We start from the raw sequence: 24,321 nt of genomic DNA on the forward strand, positions 1-24,321 counted from the left end.
TTAAGCCACCGCACCTGGCCCATTTTGCCTAATTTTAACTGTGCTTTTTATACGAAGTTATTCCCTCCCTTTCACCCCAATTAGCCCTACTGAGTAGTGCCTATACCTGGCCTGGGGACTCAGTACTACTTGTTAGAAACTATCTTCCTCTACTCCTTAACCTTCTTGCAGATACTTGGGTTGCTGACGGTATCTCCCATCCCATCTCTCCAGAAGTTGTGAAGCCAGATGACCAGCTAGAAATGGGATTGGTATCCTGAATGATATGGAGATATTTTTTGGTTGGTCCTTCATTACATCTTAAAATATGCTTTAAAAAAGGAAGAATTTAAAAGAAATTTACAAAAGTTTCTGACAAAACATATACAAACATCTTTATTGACAAGTGAGCCAATAAGGGCACATTTAGTTTACAGATAACCAAAAACATTTGAAATGCATAACATTAAAATTTCCAAGATTCATGTTGCAGTACAAACATGTGGCAGGTTAAACATCAGGCATAAAAAGGACAAATACTGAAACGCAAAGGGCCAGAGATCCCAAGTCGCTTAACACTATTTAAAATGTTATTCAACTGCAAACTTCAGCCTCTGGAACCATCCCAGATAGCTACTGGTTAAGTGATACGAAGTAGGAAAAAAGAAGGTTCTGGAAGGTCTCAAGGAGGCTGTGCAGAAAACAGCACCAGATGGAAGCAAGAGCAGAAAGAAGTCACGTCCCATCTTTATGACAAGCCACAGAACAAGATGGTCACAGTTCTTCATGGGTAAACAAAAGATGTGGAAGACACAGCCAACCTTAAGTAACTTCTACTGACGGATGCTCTGGCACTTCTCTATGTAGAGAAGGAGAGAGAAAGAGAGCACCAAGCAGGAGTGGGGGACTCTATATTTATTGTCTGCCAGTTCTTTTGTATGCATTGTCTTATTTAATCCTTATGACAACCTCATGAGAAGCCAATGATTTATTCCCTTTGTTGAAACCTAATACAGATAAAGAAACTGAGACTCAGAGTAGGGAGTTTTTCCAAGGTCACATGACTGCTTAGTGGGGATGGCAGAATTCAAACTCAACTTTGGAAAGCCCATGTTGGTCTTCTTTCCTTAGTCAAATTTTGGCCCTCAAATGAATTTCTTTTCACTCAAGAATTTGGCAAGTTTCAATAACTTGAATTCTCCTGACAATATATAGTAACATCCTAGAGGTAGGAGTATTTTGATGCATCATTTCCCACCTCTTTTATTTTTCTGTCCCCAGTTATCTCTCAGTAAGTTCAACTTTTCCATTCCACCTACTTTCTCTGACTGGTTTAAACCCTTTATCTGACTTCTTGATGAATGCTCTGGAACAGGGGCCAAGAAAATATTTTCTGTAAAGAGCCAAACAGTAAATATTTTAGGCTTTCAGGGACATAGAACCTACTATGGGCTATATCCCCATCAAAGTCATATAATGAAACTTAATTGATGGTATTATGAAATGGGGCCTTTTGGAGGTGATTAGGTCGTGAGGGTGGAGCGCTCATGAATGGGATTAGTGCCCTTATAAGGGCCTGAAGATACCAGAGCTCTCCCCTTCTACCATGTGAAGACACAGTGAAAGGTGCTTTCTATTAACCAAGAAGCAGACCTTCCCTAGACCCTAAATATGTTGACACCTTGATCTTGGACTTCCCAGCCTCCAAAACTGTGAGAAGTAAGTTTCTGTTGCTTATAAGCTGCTCTGTTTGTGATATTAAAGCCCAGAGGCACAACCTCCGCTGCAGCTACTCAGTTCTGACACTGGACACAAAGGCAGTCAAGGACAACATGTAAATGAGTAAGTGTGGCTGAGTTCCAATAAAATTTTCTTCTGAGAAACAGGTGGTGGGCCAGAGTTGGTCCATGAGTCCAGGCCACAGTTTGTCAACTCCTGCTCTAAACCATTAGTACTAAATACTAAGATGATAAAAGAGGTGAGTTCCTTTTCCTGTGTTTTCTTTCTTTTTTCTTTTTTTTTTTTTTTTGAGTAATGATACAGTTTAGATCTGTATCCCCACCCAAATCTCATGTTTAATTGTAATCCCCAATGTGGGAGGTGGGGCCTGGTGCAAGGTGACTGGACCACGCAGGTAGTTTCTCATGAATGATTTAGCACTGTCCCCCTACTGCTGTCTCGTGATAGAGTTCTCATGAGATTTGGTTGCATAAAAAGTGTGTAGCACCTCCCCTCTCTCTTTTCCTCTTGCTCTAGCCCTGTGAAGATACCTGCTCTGGCTTTGCCTTTTGCCATGAGTAAAAGCTCCCTGAGACCTCCCCAGTCATACTTCCTGTACAGCCCATGGAACCATGAGCCAATTAAACCTTTTTTCTTTATAAGTTACCCAGTCTCAGGCATTTCTTTATAGCAGTGTGAGATTGAACCGATACAGATAACAATAACAAAAAGTAGGTAAATATGAAGGCCAGAGAAATGGCAACTTCTTCATGAAGGGAAGCTGCTTATCCTCAAGCAAGTCAGTTGAGGACTATCCTGTGAGCTATTTTCCGTACCTTGTTTTCCACTCATACAGGGAAGTATGCCCTGGTGTCTCACAGTTGCTTCAGTTCTTCTTTACTGGGACCCTAAATATAATAACACACTGAACCACTCAACTTCTCAGACCTTCAATATCCCTGGGGCTTTTTCTCAAATGGACACAGCATAGCTTTCAGAAAGCTGAATAATGTAGACAAAAGAAGTCTCCCTCACCCTTTGATTATGGAAAACCAAAGATTTATTCAGTGCCAAGGATAAGAAAGGAAGGACTTGATCAACAACCACTGTTAAGATTTTGACCCATTCACTACTTCACGTGAACTCCCAGGGAAATGGAAAATGAAAGAAGGTCTCCGCGGTAGAGGGATAACAATGACATAAATCAATGATGATGCCAGGCATGGTGGCTCACGCCTGTAATCCCAGCACTTTGGGAGGCCGAGGCAGGCAGATCACGAGGTCAGGAGATCAAGACCATCCTGGCTAACATGGTGAAACCCCATCTCTACTAAAAATACAAAAAAAATTAGCCAGGCGTACTGGCAGGTGCCTGTAGTCCCAGCTACTCAGGAGGCTGAGACAAGAGAATGGCATGAACCTGGGAGGTGGAGGTTGCAGTGAGCTGAGATCACGCCACTGCACTCCAGCCCGGGCAACAGAGCGAGACTCTGTCTCAAAAAAAAAAAAAAAAAAAAATCAATGATGTACATAATCCATGTGAACATAAATTAGAATTGTCTGTAAATATTATACATCCTAGTTATGGTCATCAAAATAGACAGCAGCTTGTTGAGGGAGGAAGGGAATGCTAAGGACTTTGAACCCAGCATTTTTGGTTTTTAAGGCTAATATAAAAGAAATGACACTCTAGATGAATTATACCATATGTGTATCTAGATCTCAAGGAGTAATAAATAACAACATTGTGTCTTCCTGATGATAAGGATGTAAGCCCTCAGCCTAACCTACCCAATAAGAATTTCCTTACAAAGTGAGAGGCTTACAACAAAGCTCTGACATAAACAAGAGAGGGGAAAACTGGATTTCACAATGTTTGTACTGCTACCCACTCTCAGGGACTTCTTGAATTTCCACAGATAGCTATTTGGGAGGTTGGAGATTAAAATTTTGAAATCGCTGGCTAGATTTCATAATTATCAAATTAACGGACATAAAGAACCTGCCTATGGCTCAAAACTATGTATTACACAAATGAAATTAGATGCATATAGAATTGGTCCTCACATGCATATTATGGATGGGCCTTCCACCTAAACACTCAAGTATTTAATATAGTGATAAAACCAACTTACATTTCTTCACATTCAGTAATTTTTCAGGGTTGCTCTTCAGTGTGAACTCTTTGATGTCTGATGAGAGATGAACTGCACTTAAAGCTTTTCCCACACTCATTACATCTAAAGGGTTTCTCTCCGGTATGAGTTCTCTGATGTTGAATAAGAGCTGATGAATGAATGAAGGCTTTTCCACACTCACTACATTTGTACGGTTTCTTTCCAATATGAATTCTTTGATGTTTAGCAAAATTGGAGCTCTGGCTGAAGGTTTTCCCACATTCACTACACTCATAGGGTTTCTCTCCAGTGTGAATTCTCTGATGTTGAACAAGATGTGTGCTCTGACTAAAAGTTTTTCCACATTCACTGCATTCATATGGCTTTTCTCCAGTATGAACTCTCTGATGCTTAGTTAGGGATGAGCAATGGCTAAAGGCTTTCCCACATTCTTGACATTTATAAGGTTTCTCTCCAGTATGAGTTCTTTGATGTTTAATGAGTGCTGATGAATGAATAAAAGCTTTATCACATTCATTACATTCATAAGGCCTCACTCCAGTATGAATCAACTGATGCTGCACAAGATGTGTACTTCGATTAAAACCTTTCCCACATTCATTGCATTCATAAGGTCTCTCTCCAACGTGAATTCTCTGATGTGTTGCAAGGGATGAGCTTTCTGTGAAGGTTTTCTTACATTCACGGCATTCAAAGAGAATTCTAGTATGAGTTCTCTGGTGTTTAGTTAAATTAGCTCTGTGGCTAAAAGATTTCCCACATTCATTGCAGGTATAGGGTTTCTCTCCAGTATGGACTCTCTGGTGTTGAATATGCACTGAATGGCAGGTGAAGAGTTCACCACAATCATTACATTTATGAGGTTTTTTCTCTTTATAAGTTCTCTGCTTTTTCATTAAGTTTGATTTTTGTTTCAAGCTTTTTTCAAGTGTATGGAAGGCATAAGATCCTTTGGGAACTCTGTCTTCAGTGATAAGGACAGATTTCTGATTGAAGCTTTTCCAGTATACATCATGCTCATGGTCTGTTTCCTCAGAGAGTGAATTCATGTGAGTGAACATTTCTCTCAAATGTCTCTCCTGATTTCCTTGCTGCTTCTCTAACCAATTTTCACATTCAAGGGCTGCTTCCAAGTTAGAGTCATAGACACTATTCCGTGTCAGTCTGTCTATTATTGCAACTTTGCATGATTCTGCTTTGGAAAAATCTTGCACTGAAGTTGAATCCTTGCTCTGTGGTCTAGTCTCCACGTCTGAAGGACATTGGAAATGCAAATTTCCTTCGTTTTCTGTGCTCAACAAAAAGGCAGTTCTGTAATAGGTAAGAGTTAATGAAAGTGAAAAGCATGCCTTCAAGGAGCAAGTGGATTTGACTCTTTCAGATGACTTGCAAAGAGAAACAAAGGGAGGGAAACAAATGCTCAGAATATGCAGAGAAAATAAGTACATCCTATCCAGGAGAGTCGGAAGAGGAGAAAGATGACAAAAAATATAAGAGTAGAGATGCCGATGAAGCAATATATCCATGGATGAGCAGACAATGAGTACACAGATCAGGATGGGAAGAAATAACTTTTTATAGAATACCTACTTATTGTAATAAATTTCTAGGCACACAACCATCTTAGTGTACAGTACAGTTATGGCTTCTAAATTTTCACTATTCCAATCCTACTCACATCCAAATATGTATTCCATTGCCAGTTTAATCTTCCTAACAATGCTTTTATAACATTTTGCTGATCAAAAACCTCCTATGATCTCCCAAAGGCATAATGACAAATATACGAAATGATATATGCACAAGGCTATTTGTTGAAGCACTAATTCAGGTAGCAAAAGACTGATAACATTTCACATATCCTACTATACAGAAATGATTGAACATATAGTGGATACAAACAATGGAGTACTATCCATCTCCTTAAAAAATGACAAAGATCTTTACATATTGCTATAAGGTGACCACCAGGATATATTAAGTTTAAAAGGAAAAAGCAAGATATAAATAAGCACGCACAGTTTGCTACTTTTTTATAAAGAAAAAAAAGGGGTACAAATACCTATACTGTTTGCTTACATTTAAAAAAAAATAAAAAAAGGATAAATGGAAAACCAATAAAAATTTGTACCTATAGGGAAAACATCAGAACACAGGAGAGAGGGCAGAGATGGAAGCTTAACCTCTCTAAATATATCTAATATAAATATAGTAGAATTTTTATATCCAATATAAAGTTAATTTATATAGAGAAAATATTTTAAGCAGTGTAGTTCAAAGAAATAAACAGGAGTAAAATAGAAGAGCAAATACAGAAATAAAGTATATGTAAGAATTAAAGATAATATGAAGGTGGTATTTCAGTCAGTGAACAAAACATAGATTTGTTTTTCCAATGATGCCATGGCAACTGATTAACTATTAGAAGAAAATTAAGTTAGATGAGTCACTCATTTCATACACTCAAATAAATTATATTCATTCATCTATCTATTCATCTTCTATCCATTTTATTCAACAAATATTTATAGAATATCTTCCATGTGCTAGGCTCTGAACTAGTCACTTGGGAAAAAACAGTCACTATACATATAGAGGAAGAGAAAATTTAATCTAACATTCATGAGCAAAATCTGAATTGCAGTTTTGCCACTTACTAGCTGTGTGATACTGGATAAGTTATTTAACCTCTTTACTTCGGTTTCCTTATGTGTAAGAGAGGGCAATAACAGTATCCGTCTTGCAAGGAATGATAGCAATAGCTACCTTAATGAGCATTAATGCAAATATCTATGAAGCATTTAAAACTCTGACACAGCATAAGTGCTACATTAAGTGCTTGTTAAATAAATAAAACATAAATTGACATAAGGCTTGTATAGGTAGGTAGAGGTAAAGATCCTCAAGTATGGTCCATGAACCCCTGGGAAACTATAAGTTCAAAACTGCTTCCAAAATAACATTTAGATGTTATTTGCCTTTTTCATTGTCTCAACATTTTCAATGATGTCGTAAAAGTAGTGGTAAAATTGCTTACAACTTCGCACAAATCAACACAATGATACTAAACTTACTAGTAGTCCTTGTATTCTTCCCCATCATGTACTCTTGGTTTAAAAAAAAAAAAGCCAGTTTTATTTAAAAATGTCTAAGGAAGCATAAACATTAATTTCATTGAATTTTAATCCTTGAAGTGCCTTTTTAATATTCAGGGTTAATGAAATAGGAAATATTCGCAAAGCAATTCTGTTTATACCAAAGAACAATGGTCGTCTTGAGGAAATATACCATGCAATCATTTGAGTTGTGAGCTGAACCAGCCACTTGTTTCACAGACCACCATTTTACCTGAAAGGATGACTGAATGGCAAACTATGTTATCTAACTTGGGTATCTGGCAGACAGTTTCTCAAAAATGAACAAAGTGAACCTGTTGTATCAAGGACAACAAATGAGTTTTTTATAAAATTTGAGCTTTCAGGCAGAAATTACAAGTTTTGGAAAACTTCTATTTACCACCGAGAGCTTGATGGCTTCCTAAAACTTAAAGGCTTTTCTGATAAGGTCAGTTGTGATACTAAAAGTTATAATATTCAAAAATATTGCACAATATAAAGTGTCAACAAAGAAGATCTGCACTTAGTGAACCAATATTGTCCAAAAGATTGATAGATTTCAATATATGAAAAATTTATGGATGTGGTTTCAGATTCTACATTGTACCTAATCTTTCAGAAAGTATCACTTGTTCAGTTTTGGAGCTGTTTCAAAGAAGAATAGCCATAATTACCTGAAAAGACTATAAAATACTCCTTCCTTTTTCAACTTATATCTGCGTGACACTGGATTTTCTCCATGCATGGCAACCAAAACAACATGTCATATCAAGTTGCATTCAGAAGCAGTTGTAAGAATATAGCTACCTTCTATTATGTCATACATTAAAGAGATTGGCAAAAGTGTAAAACAATGCCATACTTCTTCTTTTTTTTTTTTTTTTTTTTTTAGAGTGTCACTGATGCTTTATTTACATGCGTCACCATCTCTTTTACAAACTAGATTACGGTTTTAAGTGGAATACACAAGGCAATATCTACAAACACCAAGGAAAGTAAGTACTGCATCTCTATTTCATTTGGAAAGGGGAAGATTCCCAAATCAAACTGGTTTTGATCCTTAAGAAAGGCGGCAGAGTTAATTCATGGCAACATATGGTTAGACAAAATCCTCAGTAAGAATGCCATATGATAGTGTTCGCATTGAAAGAAGGATGAGGTGCTTCAAATCAAAGTCTGAACTGCTTGACTCTCAGGTGTTTAAATATGGCCACGCACCATATTTAGTTCTAGATTATATGGGATATGAGCAAGGAATTGAAACAGATAAGACAGTTTTTACAGATACTGTATACAGATTTTTTTTCCATTCATGCAACTTTTTTCTTAAAAAAAGTTAAACATGTGAAGCCAAAATGCACAATACAGTTTTTTAAATATTAACTAATTTTTCTGGTCCTCCTTCACATTTGTTTACATTTCCCATGTACATAATGTGCTAGGACAAGTATACAAGAGAAGACTGATTGCCAGGCAATGAGATAATTTTAGAGAAATAAGTGACCAGACACATAGTTCTTAAAAGCAGCCGCACACGTATTTCTGGAGTGTGGCAAGAGGCCTCATGACCAATCATTCATCAAAGAAAAATACAAACAGATACAACTAAAGAAGAGGAAAATATTCCATTCATTTAAACTGCATAAAATGTTACCCACTTAAGATTTAGATAAAATATAATATACTCTTTTATTTGGGCATCCGCTTCAAGACCTCATTTGACAGGCATGATTCCATCAGAACTTCACTTCCTCTAGTAGTACTCTGCCTCCCCAGTCTCTGAGAGAGGCTAGCTTTTTCGTACCTCTTTACTGGTGATTGCATTTCTACCAAAAAAAAAATTTTTTTTTTTAAATTATACCTAATCGTACAATGTTCACCCAAATACAGCAAGAAAAATAAAACCAGAGTTCAGAGCTGTTAGGGTTTCTTTTTTGCTTTGAGAGAGGATGAGTAACATTTTTTTTTTTTTTTTGACACGGAGTTTCACTCTTGTTACCCAGGCTGGAGTGCACTGGCATGATCTCGGCTCACTGCGACCTCCGCCTCCTGGGTTCAAGCGATTCTCCTGCCTCAGCCTCCAGAGTAGCTGGGATTACAGGCATGCACCACCATGCCAGGCTAATTTTGTATTTTTAATAGAGACGGGGTTTCTCCATGTTGGTCAGGCTGGATAACATTTTTATTTCCCCTCGCAAGCCCTTGGCACCAACATGGAGGACTTCTTTTTGACTGCTTTATTCTTCATGGCCTTTTCCAAGAGATTCAAATGCTCCTTATTCTTTAAGTGGGGTTCACTAGGTAGAGGCAAAGTCTGTCCCCACCATCTTTAAACTGCGTATAAGTTTGGAAGCCACCTGAAATCACACCCTGAGCGGGGCATACTTGTCCTGAGTAGTAAGCCATGGTGTCCTCTCCTCAGGGTGGGGAAGCAACACACACAATGCTAAAAATTAACACCAAAAACAAACACAAAGTCCGCCTTGTACTACACATGTGTGAATGATCCTCCCATTAACAGGAGTGACAAACTTCTGAATTTTTAAAATGTGTTTCAGCAATCATATTGCAGAGGAAGCAATAAAGGAAACCAAGCTCAGATTCATTCACATTTAATGGGGTACACTGAGCCTGGCAGCCAGTTCTCATGCCAGGACAGTGAAGGCTTGTGATAAAGCTCTTTCCTAGCTTTGGTAACAGGTATCAGGTTCTGGAGCCCTGGAGAGAACAGCAGATCCCAAGAGCGCATGTCATGTTTTCAACATTAGGTACTCTTCTAATTTCTCACCAAAAAGTAGGCGGCTCCCTAGAGCAGCTTATTTAGAGGCCAAGTGTGGCCTCGGATAGTTCTCATCATAAATCAAACATTACAGCTGCCAGGCCCCTTGAGGCTAAGCATTCTGCTGATATGCTCCAGATCAGAAAATTATTGTTAGGGACCCGTGACACTCACTCAGAATGTGACATGGTGGCCAACGGCTGGCCTGTCCTGAAAGCAGGGTCTCAATATAAGGGGCGGAAGGCTCTGGCAGCACCCCTGCCCACTTCAGAACCGGGCTAGTCTCTGGGGCCCTGGCCTCTCTGCAGGTGGCTGAGGGTGAGGGTGCCGGGACCCTACACAGGCTTCACTACCAGATTCTCAGCTGACCCTCTCCAGGGGCTGGTGGGTCTCGCAGTACTGATGCTGCACTTGACTTTACCCTGGTCTCAGCTCTCCACGACACTCTACATGTAGATGCTGTTTTAGTTACTTGAAAAAGAAAAAACAAAACAGAACAAAAAACCAAAGCATTCCCTCTTCATTCTCCTGATCTGTTTTATGCTGCCTTGCCCTTGTACCTTCTCTGTCCCTTCCTCAGCTGTTTCGGATTAAATGATAATCTGGTTCTAGGACATTCTGTAAGACATTCTGCCTGAAATTCAACAAACGCTAGAAAAGGAGAATAAATGAGATACCACATGTCTGAAAAGAATTCAACATTTTAAAGTTGAAACACATTGGAGGGTTGCCTTTCTCACTCCCAAAGCAGCTCCCTGGGTCTGTAAAACTGCAAAGGCAAGTAGCGATTTTGTTAGTTACTTTGCATGTTTCTCTGAACTCAGGACAGAAGTTCTCAGGACCCTCATGCTGGAAGCACTCTAGAATTCTCCTATCCCCCCACCCTTTTCCATCTCGCTCCCCACTCTAGCCCCCATGCTACTACTGCCTCTGCAATGCATCCCCACCCAGGGCAGCATCCCTTAGGAAGCTTGGAGAGGCAACCCTCCTTCACTGCTACTGGAAAGTTCTTGCATACAGCACATTACTAAAGAATCCAGGAAGTGGCTAGCATTATTATAAAGGAATATAGTAAGCAAGTCTGGCTCACTGACAAGCAGACCATATGAATAGAATACATACTTTAAAAAATTATACATACTTTAAAAATGAAGATTATAAACATGTAGCAGTTTAGAAAAGGCAATGTGCTACAGTCTACTATAACCACAATTGCACAACAATTTACAGATTCAGTAAAAGGCAGGGTGAAATCAACAGGGCCATCGCTCAAACATGGCAACCCAAGCGAGGCAGGAGACGTGTGACAATACCAAATGGAACTCTCATTATGCTAGGAGCTGTGATCACCACCAATATCACCCCCAGAGGAGTTATAAAGCCAAGGCGCACAAGGGGGCCCCTGGTGGCCGGTGGTGTGTGCAGGGGGTTGGGTGGCACGTCTGTGTTGGTGCCCACTGTCACGGTGCAAGCATCAGCAAGAACTCAAGCAGGGAAGTCTGTGCTGAAATACTAGCCTGTATTCCTAAGGCCCATGCATAAGGTTCCATTTTTGTACTGTACATAATAAAATATATTTATACATTTATACGCCTAATGCTTTTTATGCAAAGAAAAGAGTCTTCATATATCACTTTGGAGAAGTATGCATATGCTGTGCTAATCAGAGCATCGTTATACCAATTTCATATGTACCAAAGGTGGTCCCAACTATTCCGTCTACCAAAGAAGGTAACGAATATAATCACACTTTCCAGGTTAAACAGAAAGCACCTATACAGCACCATAACTTTTTGAAAACACAACAAAATGAAATCCACAGAAGCAGAAAAAAAAGTTAAAACTGCCCTATTTTGTACTTCCATTGAGTCGCTTGTACAATTACAACCTAAGCTTATATTTAAAAAATCAGTTTATATGCTATTGCCTCTCACTCATACACTTCTAGCAGATCAGATTATATAGCAAGGCTGAAAATAATCAAGGATGTGTATTTAGGAAAACAGTGAAGTTGGAACTGCCTCAGCATTGACTTGGGTTTTTACTCTTTGCACATTTCTCACTGCAAGCTTAATGCTCACCTGTAAGTTCATTTGTTCTGCAAAGCAAAACAGGACTTTTTTTTTTTTTCCTTTTCTTTCTCCTTAAAACTAAACCCTTTTTGGGTGACATTTGGCAATGAGTGGAGAGCTGAGCTGATTTCTTTCCTGAAAATATCATTATTCTAGTTTCTAACCAGCAGACCAACACTGTTCACATTAGCTGAGGACACTGACAGGAGATCACAGGCCCTACTGATCTGGCACCCGTAGACCTGGTGCTGGGGTCCCGTCCACAGATCACCCTGACTCAGAACTGGAAACACACTGGGCTGGACGCTGTGCTCCACTCGTTTTGCCTATGCATGGTTCAGTCCTGGACGGGTGCGCATAGCAAACAATTGTGCCATTGTTCAGTTTTTAGAAAAGGATAATTTTCTACCAAACAAAAGAAGAAAGAAAATCCCCCTTTAGTTTATGTAATTTGTTAGTTTATGGAGTTCCATGCGCTCAAAAGCTTGTGATGCTCAAACCTGGAATGGTAACTGGTACAACATTGTCTTTCTGTTTTTAAATTTGCTAGGGGAAGGACGGTTAACATTTTAACAGAAAAATACCGCAAGTTAATGCATGTGAAAAACTCAGAAAGTCAAAGGAAAACAAACACAAGAACAACACTTAAAACATCCCATAAACCATCGCAATATTAAAACACCACAGAATGGCCGAAGAGGGCTCACGGTGTGCTCTGAACGAGGGTGGGTGGTGCTGAGGGGTGCTGTCCTCCACTGGCAGGCGGCTCACCACCCTGTACAAAGAAGATTTTGCATACTTTTTAGAGTTCTATTCCAAGGGTAAGTGCTTCACCCAGGGTAAGGGGCCATTAACAGTCTCTGCTGGGTTAGGAAAATGGCGTGGGATTCACAAAGGTGTTAAGCTGTAAACGGTATCACTGTCCACTTGCTGAGAGCAGATTTGGCAAAGGGTTTTCTCTGTAGGTCTTGTGTCAGTTTGAGGGTCTGCTTTGCCCACTTCCCCTTCCTCAGTGATCCTTCAGCCTGGCACCCAGCTCTGAGATGAGGCCTGCTTAGCACCAGTGAAGTTCCCCACGTTCAAACCAACAACATTCTGTGTGGAGATGAGGGAATCAAAGTTAAAATCCAACCCATCAGCATCCATGAGTTCACTACGGATAATGGACTCCATGTCACATTCCAAGCTCCCATTGAACATGTCCAGGTCCAAGTCGCTGGGGAACTTCTCATGGCCCATGACGGGCAGGTTTGCACTAGTTGAGTACAAGGAGGAGCCTGAGAGAGAGTCCGAGAGGGTTTGCATAGACTGGCTGACAGGAGACTGCTGCTGGTGTTTGGCTGACCCAAGGCTGCTGGACTCACTCAAGCCCATGTTGCTGACAGAATTCGACAAGGCACGGCTGCCACCAAGAGCGCCCTGGGTTTGGTGCTGGTGGTGGAGCAAGTTCTGATTGACCACACTTCCCTGGTTAGGCTGGGCAGCAAAGGACATCATCGGATCATTGCGAAGCATCACGTTCCGGCGGGAATTCTGGGCAGACACAGCGGTGCTGGCCTGAGACATCAAGGGGTCCGACTGTGTCATCATGACATCGCTGTGGCTAAGTGAGTCCGAAGTGAGCAGGTCCTGGAGTGTCTGGTTACCATAGTGTGACATGGAAGAGAAGGTAGCTGGCTTGTTCTCTTGGATGGTCTGCATGGGAGACTGGCGTAGGGAGTTCAGAGATGAAGGTCCAAACACCGTGCTGTTAAAGGAGCTGGTTGGGGAGCTCAGGCCCGAGCCCTTGGTGGTATACGGGAAGCTAGAACTCCGCTGCATGAGTCCCCCAGTGGGCGATGGCTGGGATGGCGGGAGCGTGATGTTATCCAGCAGGTCGTCCATGAGGTTTTCAGTCAGCCCCATCATTCAGATTCATGGTGCCTGCCATGTCAGTCAGCCGTAGCAGTTCCACCGTGCACGGCTTGCTTACTGAAGGTGACAGGCTCGCTGAGCTGCTGTAGAGCATGGGCGAGAGAGGCGCATCGTCGTCCTGGACTTCATCCAACTCTGTGCTTGCCATGATGGGCGACAGGCGGCCACTGACTGTGCTGGCGTTAGAATTGGTGCGTGAACGGAAGTCCGTCCACGCATCCAGCTCATCACTGCTGCGTGACGTGGGGCTGCCAGACCACTTGGAGAGCTGGGAGGGACTGTCGTCAGCTGATTCGGGGGCTGTCTGCAGGGCTGCCTTCTTCTTGGCTGTGCGGCCACGGCTCTTGGTATACTTGTTGCTATTGTCCATGGAGACAGCCCGCCGCCGGGGGGCTTTTCCGCTCTTCCCCCCATCAGGGTTGATGATCCACCAAGAGCTCTTGCCAGTTCCCTCATTCTGGACCCGCATGAATCGACTATGCAGTGACAGGTTGTGCCGGATGGAGTTCTTCTAGCCGGCAGAGCTGTTGCTGTTGCCCTTATCCTTGAAGTAGGGCACGCAACTCACCATCCACTCGTAGATCTGGGACAGAGTGAGCCGTCTGTCCGGGGAGCTCTCGATGGCGCGGGTGATCAGGTCCGCGTAGGACAGGTTTCCCCAGGCGTTCCGCCGCGACGAACATTTCCTCGGCTGCCCGGAGCCCCCAGCCGCCCCCGGCTGCGGCGGTGGCAGCGGTTGCTGAGGCTGCAGCAGCGCCTGTGTACCCCCGCTCAGCCCGCCCGCCGCGGTGGCTGGCCCAGACCCGGGGTCTTGCCCTCCGGGTGCCAGCACCCGGACCGAGTCCTCAAGGAGCAGCCCGGAGACCAGCGTGCGGCTCCCGCCGCCGCCGCCGATCGCCATGGCCGAGCCGGCCCGTCCCCCGCCGTCCTCGTCGTCTTCATCGTCCTCCTCCTCGGGGATCATGGAGTCGGCGGCCGTCTCCCCCGAGGGCTTGGCAGGGCTCGCTTGGAGCTCCGGCCTTTGCAGGGGCCACGTACAGGATCGCGGACGGCTCTGGGGCTCGAACTCCGGGTCCAGCTCCACTTCGAGCGGAGAAAGCGGGGCCGGGGAAGCCGGTGCCTCTGCCATCTTCGCCGCCCGCCCGGCCGCGGCTGGGGTTCTCGCGCTCTCCTCTCGCGCCGGGGCGGGGTGCAGCGGGGGAGGGACGTGGACGCCGCGAAGGCTCCGGCTCCCGGGCGCCGCCGCCGCCGCCGCCGCCTGGGGAAGCACGAGAGAAGAGAGAAGGAGAGTTGGTTATCCCCGGCCGGAGCCCCGTCCTCGGCGAGTCCTCGCCCGCTGCCGCCACCTCCCAGTCTTGCCGCGCCCGCCTCCCAGGAACAGGAGACCATACTTCTTAATAACACTTTTTGTTTAAAGAAAATAATGTTTTTTAATAAAAAAATATACTGTGCTAACACATGACATGTTTATAATTTTTTATTTCTATTTTTCTTTTAAGAGATGGGGTCTCACTTTATTGCTCAGGCTGGTCTCTAACTCCTGGGCTCAATCGACCCACCCACCTTGGCCTCCCAAGGCACTGGGATTACAAGTGTGGACCACCACATCCGGCCAATTATTTTTAAATGAATTAGCTAATAGCTTGAAATTTTTCTGTTTTAACTTGTAGTATAGTAACTATTGGTAGATATAACCTACATAAATGAAACATCTTTAGGGTCTTTAACAATTTTTATAGTTACAGTAGGTCCTCTGATGCCAAAGCATTCAGAACTGCTACACTAGAGCACAGAGATGGAAGAAGAGTAGTTGTGAAATGAGGTTGGGATAATGAGTAAAAGCCAGATTTCACAAGATTTTGTAGACCTCCAGGATTTTGTCTGTTACCGTGAAGGCAGCGAGAAGCCATTCAAATGTTCCAAGCAGAGTGATGACAAGACGAGATTTGATTATGAAAATATCAGTCTCACTACAATGTTGAGAATGAAGTATATGAGGGCAAAGGCGGAATCACAAAGATTATCACAGTAATCCAGGAAAACAAAAAATATATGAAGGAAAATTAACAGTGAAGAAATACTTAGAATATAATTAGGTAAATACAGTGATGGATAAAGGAGAGAGGGGGTGATGTAAAGACTGTGCGTAGATTTCCACCACGTACAATTTGATGACAATAAGTACCATTAAAACAATTACTGGAAAAGGATGTTGTTGGGGAGATGGGAAATTTAGACTTATTTTAGACATTCAGTTTTAAACATGTTGTATTGAAGTATCGTTGACATAAGCAAACAAAGGAATCAAATAGTTAAGATGTTGAGAACAGCCCTGAGGAGAGCTCTAGGATGGAAATACCAATTTGGGACTCATCTTGATAGAAGGTAACTGGTTGTGGGAATGATGAGACTAATGAAGTAGTAAGTAGAGGCTGCAAACAGTTGATCAGTTGGCCAAATCAGACCTTAGACACATTTTCTTTGGGCCACACTTTTTATACAAACTTTTAAAACTAGTTATACACAGTTAAAAATAGGGAGATTATTGCTGGACGCAGTGGCTCACGCCTGTAATCCCAGCACTTTGGGAGGCCAAGGAGGGCGGATCACGAGGTCAGGAGATCGAGATCATCCTGGCTAACACGGTGAAACCCCATCTCTACTAAAAATACAAAAAAATTAGCCGGGTGTGGTGGCGGGCACCTGTAGTCCCAGCTACTCAGGAGGCCGAGGCAGGAGAATGGCGTGAACCCAGGAGGCAGAGCTTGCAGTGAGCCAAGATCGCACCACTGCACTCCAGCCTGGGAAACAAAGCGAGACTCCATCTCAAAAAAAAAAAAAAGGGGGGGGGGAGATTACAGACAAATGCAAATTTAGGGTTTCTCTCTTGAAAAAAACTGGAAGTGTACTGAACGACAACCACCATTTAGAGCAGGGATTGGCAACTACAGCCTGCTGCCTACTTTGCTAAATAAATTTTTACTGGAACATACCCATTCATGTATGCATTTTCTAGGGCTGCTTTCATACTACTGTGGAAGATCGAATGGCTGCAGAGACACCATGTCCCACAAAGCGTAATTATTTACTGTCTAGCCATTTACATAAAAAGCTTGCCAGCCATTGAGCTAGAGCTACTCCTTTCAGTTGAGGCCTGTACTCCTCTGGTTCACCAGTTTCCACTTTGCTTGCTTAACTCAGTGATATTACCTCCTGGCCCATGTAAGTACTCAAGTTTATGACTCCAGGTATACAAAAGGAAGGGAGATTAAAATCAAATTTTGAGTAATTAGAATATTTAATTGTTCAAAAAAGAAGGCTAAGAAGATACACTCAGAGAAGTAAGAAGTAATTCCAAATGGATTAAGAACCTAAAGAAAAAATTAAAGAATACACTAGTAAACAGAGGCAAATATATATGTAACCTTGGATTAATGAAACACATTTTAAGCAGCACTGAAAAGGCAGAAAAAAAAAGATTATAAAAAATTAAACTTGTACATCAAAATGCATAGCAAAACTGAAAGTCAAAAACTACAAAAAATATCTGTAACATAAGAAAAGGTAAAAACCTCATATATAAGGACCTCTTAACAGATCACTATGAAAACTGCAATACCCCAAAAAAGGGAGATGGGTGGTGAGTGGTAAGTCACAGAAACTGATAGGTCTCTGAGGTGAAACAGATATATCCATAATCACAGGGAAAGACTTTTAAACTGTTTCAATATTCAAAAGTATAACTTTTTTAAAAATAATAATATCCAGGAAGGATTTTCTTTATGAGCTATATATAATACTAAGTATAGTAAATAAAACAGTCTGGTATTAGACATAGACAGACAAGTAAACCAGAGAGACAAGAAACAGAACTAAGTATGCTGAGGAACTGGGTTTACCACAGGTAGCATTACAAATCAGTAACATAAAATTATTCCATGAACAATGCTGGACTTATTGGCTTTCAGCACGGAAAAAGACAAAATTAGTTTTCCCATTTCATCATATACAAAAATAAATACCTGTAAAACAAAATTGAACATTTTGGAATAAAATAATCTTTCTGACACTGGGATAAAGTAGATAGACAATTCACAAAAAGCAATATTTAAAAAAAAATTTGTTATTAAAAATGTTTAATTCTATATGCCTAACACACCAGAAAATAAAATAAGCCAAAGATTAGAAGAACCAATTTCTTCTCACTGACTTGCAATGCTACTTCTGTCATAGATTAGTACCTAAAATACATGAAGAACTCCACCAAATCAAGAGAAAAGATATAAACAGCCCAATCTCAAAAAACAGGCAAAGGGTATCAACAGGTAACTCACAAGAAACTTGAATAGCCAAGTAACATGAAATGCTCAAACTTGTATTTATCACTCAGAGAAATGAAAATTTTAAAACATCATTTTGCATCCATCAGATTGACAAAAATTAACAAGTCTGATAACTCAACTGTTGGCAGTTCCTAGTAAAGCTAAACATGTGATGATTTAAGACCTACTAATTCTTCTTCCAGTTATCTCCCTAAACCAGCTCTCAAGATGAACATAAGGAATCAAAAAAAGGATGATCACTGCAACTGCTACTAATGGCAAAAAAATAAACTGTTCAGTTTATTCATACAGTGGACTTATGACTCCACAGTAGTTAAAATGAATAAACATAATTCATATATATTAACATAGATTAATATCAAAATACAATGTGAACTTTAAAAAATCAGACTACATAAGAAAAAGTGTAACAATAAAACATACAGATTGTTTTACATACATATGTATATATCTCTGTGTATACACACACATACACAAACACCGAAATGATTCACACCAATTTCAAGATATAATGGTTACTTCTAGGGGAGAAAGAGAATAAAAGGGTTTCTTTTCTTTGCTTTTTGTTTTTTTTTTTTGAGACACAGTCTCCCTCTGTCGCCCAGGCTGGAGGGCAATGGCATGATCTCGGCTCACTGCAACCTCTGCCTCCTGGGTTCAAGCAATTCTCCTGCCTCAGCCTCCCAAGTAGCTAGGATTACAGGTGCCTGTCACCATGCCCGGCTAATTTTTTTGTATTTGTAGTAGAGACGGGGTTTCACCATGTTGGCCAGGCTGGTCTCAAACTTCTGACCTCAGGTGATCCACCCACCTTGGCCTCCCAAAGTGCTGGGATTACAGGCGTGAGTCACCACACCCAGCTGAGAATAAAAGGGCTTTAACTGAATATGTAATATTTTTATTTCTTAAAAAATAAAAGATATCACACACCTCAAAAGGATGGCTAAAATGAAAACAAGCAATATTAAGTGTTGACAAGCATGTGGAACAACTAGAACGCACATATTCTGCTGCTGGGAATGTAATTGGTACAATGACTCTAGAAACCTCTTTGGCACTATCTACCAACAGTGAGTATGTATCTATCCTCTGATAAAACAAGTCTACTTGTATGTATACAAGGTCTGTTCCGCATGAAACTCCTGCTGGGGAAGGACTTCCCTGCCTCCCCACCCAAGGGCTACTTCCTGACCAAGATCTTCCACCCGAACTTGGGCGCCAATGGCGAGATGTGCGTCAACGTGCTCAAGAGGGACTGGACGGCTGAGCTGGGCATCCGACACGTACTGCTGACCATCAAGTGCCTGCTGATCCACCCTAACCCCGAGTCTGCACTCAACGAGGAGGCGGGCCGCCTGCTCTTGGAGAACTACGAGGAGTATGCGGCTCGGGCCCGTCTGCTCACAGAGATCCACGGGGGCGCCGGCGGGCCCAGCGGCAGGGCCAAAGCCGGGCGGGCCCTGGCCAGTGGCACTGCAGCTTCCTCCACCGACTCTGGGGCCCCAGGGGGCTTGGGAGGGGCTGAGGGTCCCATGGCCAAGAAGCATGCTGGCGAGCGCGATAAGAAGCTGGCGGCCAAGAAAAAGACGGACAAGAAGCGGGCGCTACGGCGGCTGTAGTGGGCTCTCTTCCTCCTTCCACCGTGACCCCAACCTCTCCTGTCCCCTCCCTCCAACTCTGTCTCTAAGTTATTTAAATTATGGCTGGGGTCGGGGAGGGTACAGGGGGCACTGAGACCTGGATTTGTTTTTCTAAATAAAGTTGGAAAAGCAAAAAAAAAAAAAAAAAAAAAGAAAGAAGAGAATTATTCCCTTAAGATAAAATAATATGTAAAAATCACTAAGTAGCCCCTAAGTAGAAAAGACATTATGAGGAAAAATGACCTTTAGCCTAGAATCTGCATATACATAACTAAATCAACATTCAGTGGAGATTAAGTGCCCAAAAATTAGAAGAAAAAGCCAGAACAACAAAAATGCAAACCATTGCACAAACAGCAGGAAAACTACAAAAGAGGAAACAATAAAGCACAGGAAACAGAATTATAAAAATCACATGGCAAGAAAAGTTTGAAACACATGTATTATATGTGAATGAGCAAATTTCCCTTATAAAAAGGTTTTTTTAAAAAGCCACATCCTATATACAGAATAGGCCATCAAAACAAAATATTATTGCTGGGTTGGGTACTGGTGGGTAGATGGAAGGAAATATAGTATACCATATGTCTGAATACAGTAGTGCAAGTACAACAAAAAATGTGAAAAAATATACATAGTAGAGAGAGGCAGGGACTGAATTTGAGGGGGAAGTAGCATTACCTTTACATTTCTGTATGTCTGTGTTGTTCACTTTATTACATTGAAGAACTAAAACTTTTAATATTTTTAAAAATCTAACAAATCAAAGGTAAAAAATAGCCCAGGCAAATTCTAACAAGAAAAAAAGCTCCAATATTGCATTTTAAAAATCTAATAAAATGCAAAAAGAACAAAGAGAGTTTTAAAAATTTTCCATAATAGGTTCAATCACCTTGATGCTGTTAACAGTGTTGAATCTGATATCAAAGTATTGAAATATATATTCACGCTTCTGGTACCAGTGCCCTAATTTTCCCCTAGCTACTATGCCTGGCCACTTTGAATCTGTGTAGCTCAGGTAGTACTGACGCCATCTCTGACTCACGGGTGGGATGTTTGTGCGTGCACGTGAATGTGTGTGTGTGTAGGTATATTCTATAAAGAATTACACTTAAATTTGGCCAATATCTCATCCAGGAATGGGCCTAATACCCCATTAGAGTCAATCCCAGCACTTCTGCAAGAATGACTAGAAGAGAATCTGCCCTTTTTCTCTGGCCTTCAACACAGGAAGATGTAAGCCTAAACTCGTTAGAGGCCAACACTAGGAGAAAAACTTGTTTGGCCATAAAACCCATGGAGAGCAAAGGTCAGTAAAATGAAGAATTAGGTTTTAACATTCTTGTTTGAGCCCTATATGTAGCCAGACCTAGATTTTTCAGTTTGTTAGTCAATAGTTACTTCTTTTCACTTAGACCCATTTGAATTGATTTTATCCGCTGCAACTTAAAGCTTCTTGACTAATAAAGTCTTCAAGACTAATGTAAGACAGTTGAGAAGCCAATGGAGACAGGCAAGTACATAAAGGAAGTGACTTTTACAAACACTATGAATGTGCAGTATCTACTTTTTACACTTTGGATTACAGAAGCAAAGAGAAAGGCTGATTGAGGAATCTCTGGGTTGTGGTATGCCACACACATCATGGAAAGCTCCTTTTTTCCTCCTCAACTTTTTTTTTTTTTTTTTGAGACAGTTTCACTCTCACCCAGGCTGGAGTGCAGTAGCCCTATCTGGGCTCACTGCAACCTCTGCCTCCTGGGTTCAAGTGATTCTCATGCCTCAGTCTACGGAGTGGCTGGGATTACAAGTGCGCGCCACCACGCCCAGCTAATTTTTGTATTTTAAGTAAAGACGAGGTTTCACCATGTTGGTCAGGCTGGTCTTGAACTCCTGACCTCAGGTGATCTGCCCGCCTTAGCCTCTCAAAGTGCTGGGATTACAGGCATGAGCCACCGTGCCCAGCCCTAACTTCTTTTAATAAAAGTTTCAAACATACAAAAGTTGAAAGATGAATGCAATAATCACTGATATAGTACAATCACCGCCTAAATTCAAAAATTCTTTTTTTTTTTTTTGAGACAGAGTTTCCCTCATTGCCCAGGCCGGAATGCAGTGGTGCGATCTCGGCTTACTGCAACCTCCACCTCCTAGGTTCAAGTGATTCTCCTGCCTCAGCCTCCAGACTAGCTGGGACTACAGGTGCGTGCCACCATGCCTGGCTAATTTTTTGTGTTTTTAGTAGAGACGAGGTTTCACCGTGTTAGCCAGGATGGTCTCAATCTCCTGACCTAGTCATCTACCTGCCTTGGCCTCCCAAAGTGCTGGAATTACGGGCATGAGCCACCACGCCCAGCCAAACATTCGTAATATTTGTCATATTTACCTTTTGGGAGAGAGGGGCCAACAATATAAAAGTAAGTTGCAGGCATGATCATACCTTAGCTTTCGTCATCTCAGAGGGCTGGATTCTAACTGTAACTCTTTAAATTACGCCTTCATAGGCTTTCCTTTTCCAGTGTTTCTTTGAACTATGTGAGTATTTATTATTTTTACAATCACTTCAGCATTTAAGTGCTTTCTTAGATTGCCACTTAAAGTCACATACATGCTGTTTCCTCTAGAGAAACAAGTTTTAAGAGGTATGTGCCACATTATATTTAAAATAGTTTCTCACATTACCAAGCACAGAAATGAGCATAGGAGGCTAAGAAAGGGAAATGCTGCTTACCTATCTGTTGAGGGACAATAAACACTAAATAGGGAAGAAATCCATCCAGTGTTATAAGTAGAAAACATTTTCTTCTGAGTCCATTAGTCTCCTGACTAGTCTCTTAGATTTAGAACTCAGCTCTGCAGATGGGCTTTAGTGGATAAAGAAACTCCACATCACAAAGAAGGGAGTGCATCTGTACTCTAAGAAACAAGGTGTAATTCCAATAATCAGCAGACTCACTCACCTGGGATCTGGCCGTGAGGCGCAGAGCAGCCACTTCTCCCTCTTCTGTGCTCTTCTCTTGGAAATGGGGAGAATCCTGGGAAGACAGAACTAACGACAAGAAAGCAGTAATGATGAGACCTAGGCTTAATGTGCCACTCAGATTTAAAGTCTAAAAACCGCTTCAACATACTATATGTGCTGCCTACAAACACTGAGACTGAAGGTACCCCCAAAACAACCGACCTCCTCCCAGGACCCTCTTCCCGGGATATGCGGGAATATTGCTACTCTGGGCTCGAATTCAGTTGCTATAATCATAACACATTCTGTAAGATGGCATCCTCTGATCTAGAAATTAGAATATGTCAGTAAATTTCCCAGCTTAATCTATACTCGTTGGTTCTCACTCTGAAAGCTTATTTATAATGTAGATTGCTGGACCCCACCTCAAAGTAATAAGCATTAGTTGAGCCTGGGGTACAATCCAGAAATCTAACAACCACCCCAGGGGGAATTCTGGTGTAGGAGGTCACAGCACAACCTTCACGAAACTGGTCAGGTAGAATGGAAGTCAGTCATTAACTACTACGCCTGTTTTCTCCTATGTAAAACAAAACATTTTTGACAACCAAAGAGGTGAATTCTTGCCATAGAAGTTAACATTTCACTCACATTTTGGGGGTAGCTTTGAAGGGTCCACTGTGTGCCCAGCTGCCATGGAAAGGGCGGTGCTCCCATACCAAGCTCTTCAGTCTCACTTAAAAAGCCCATCCATCCCCAAGACAATGGAGACAGCCAGCCAAGAGCCACCTCCCCTGAGCCAACCGTTTTCCCTTCAGGAGCAGGAATTTCGTCCTTCCACGCTACAAGTTCAACACGTCCGCAATTCTCACCTCCTTTCTCAGGCATTTCAGCCAAATCTGTCTCCATGATCACCACCTCCTCCTTGTTCTGGAGATTCTGCTCTTCACCCCAATTCAGATCTCCCTGGCCAGACGAGTTAGAAGCCCCCCGGGCCTCGTGGTCCCACTTCCTGCCTTCCCTCCTGGGCTCTGATGAAAGGCCTGGGTTAGATCGGGTCTCTTTCTCACCGTGGAGTCTGCCTCAGTCCTACGGCGCTGGAGCCTGGAAGCCCGGGGACAGCATCCCTGAGGCTGGGTCCTCAGATGTCTGTCCCTACCGCTTGAAGCTGTCCCTGGGGGAACCGGGCGCCTGGAAGAGGTGACGCTGGGGCATCAGGAGTTTGGACAAATTCTGCCGCGCTCGGGGCACTGGCCCAGGACCCCGCGACCACCCCGCCCGTGGCACAACCGCGTCCCCCGAGGAGAGGATCAGGCCAGAGTGAGAAGGGACAGGGCTCATGGTCTGCCCTCGAGGCCCCTTTAACAAACGCGCACTCTAGCCCCGACTCGGCACAGAACGACCCGGGGAACTACCGCCGAGGCCGAGCCGAGACGAGAGACATCACCACAAGCAACTCACCTCCCATCCCGGGCCTCACAAAGGGGACGAACTTCTTTGGCCAGCTCGGAGTCGCGCATGAGTAAGAAGGAGCGGAGCCAGGCGTGCTGCTCTCATTCCGCCCGGAACTACAATTCCCAGAAGCGCCTTGGCATCGCCAGACTCCGGTTCTCCGCAGGTGGGAGCACCCATGGTGAGGTTGGGAGAATCGGCCGATCG

At 42.5% G+C, this 24,321-nt stretch overlaps 1 protein-coding gene and 2 pseudogenes across 3 annotated transcripts, besides 1 other annotated feature; 1 reads left to right on the forward strand and 2 right to left on the reverse strand.

Annotated features, from left to right (window-relative positions):
• Positions 1 to 348: 348 nt before the first annotated feature.
• Positions 349 to 24,234, reverse strand: ZNF286B (zinc finger protein 286B (pseudogene); annotated as a pseudogene). The gene is made up of 4 exons (NR_160540.1): positions 24,124 to 24,234; positions 23,535 to 23,766; positions 22,661 to 22,749; positions 349 to 5,147 (listed from the first exon to the last, which is right to left on the reverse strand). The product of NR_160540.1 is annotated as a zinc finger protein 286B (pseudogene) (transcript).
• FOXO3B (forkhead box O3B) lies at positions 9,549 to 24,234 on the reverse strand. 2 transcript variants are annotated; one of them, NM_001368135.1, is made up of 4 exons: positions 24,124 to 24,234; positions 23,535 to 23,766; positions 22,661 to 22,749; positions 9,549 to 14,975 (listed from the first exon to the last, which is right to left on the reverse strand). In NM_001368135.1, the coding sequence occupies exons 2-4, from the start codon at positions 23,569 to 23,571 to the stop codon at positions 14,229 to 14,231; spliced, it is 873 nt and encodes a 290-aa protein (NP_001355064.1). In that variant the 5' UTR covers positions 23,572 to 23,766; positions 24,124 to 24,234; the 3' UTR covers positions 9,549 to 14,228. The 2 variants fall into 2 exon arrangements, with proteins under 2 accessions (NP_001355064.1, NP_001355063.1); NM_001368134.1 differs by having other exon boundaries at positions 23,535 to 23,853.
• UBE2SP2 (ubiquitin conjugating enzyme E2 S pseudogene 2) lies at positions 19,181 to 19,832 on the forward strand (annotated as a pseudogene).
• Positions 23,724 to 24,229: an enhancer, noted in NCBI's record as "H3K27ac hESC enhancer chr17:18585117-18585622 (GRCh37/hg19 assembly coordinates)". NCBI's record gives its function as "activates a minimal SCP1, AML or CMV promoter by ChIP-STARR-seq in primed H9 embryonic stem cells {active_cell/tissue: H9 hESC(primed)}" and the evidence as "EXISTENCE:reporter gene assay evidence [ECO:0000049][PMID:30033119]".

This window comes from Homo sapiens, chromosome 17, assembly GCF_000001405.40.
Source record: "Homo sapiens chromosome 17, GRCh38.p14 Primary Assembly".
Taxonomy (NCBI): domain Eukaryota; kingdom Metazoa; phylum Chordata; class Mammalia; order Primates; family Hominidae; genus Homo; species Homo sapiens.

Bases quoted from the DNA above. Each gene is read 5' to 3' on its own strand.
- FOXO3B (NM_001368135.1), bottom strand. From the start codon at position 23,571: ATGGAGACAGATTTGGCTGAAATGCCTGAGAAAGGAG. The intron at 22,750-23,534 runs GTGAGAATTGCG...TCTTGTCGTTAG, and splicing joins TGAAATGCCTGAGAAAGGAG to TTCTGTCTTCCCAGGATTCT. The intron at 14,976-22,660 runs GTGAGTGAGTCT...GTGCTTCCCCAG, and splicing joins GCCTCACGGCCAGATCCCAG to GCGGCGGCGGCGGCGGCGGC.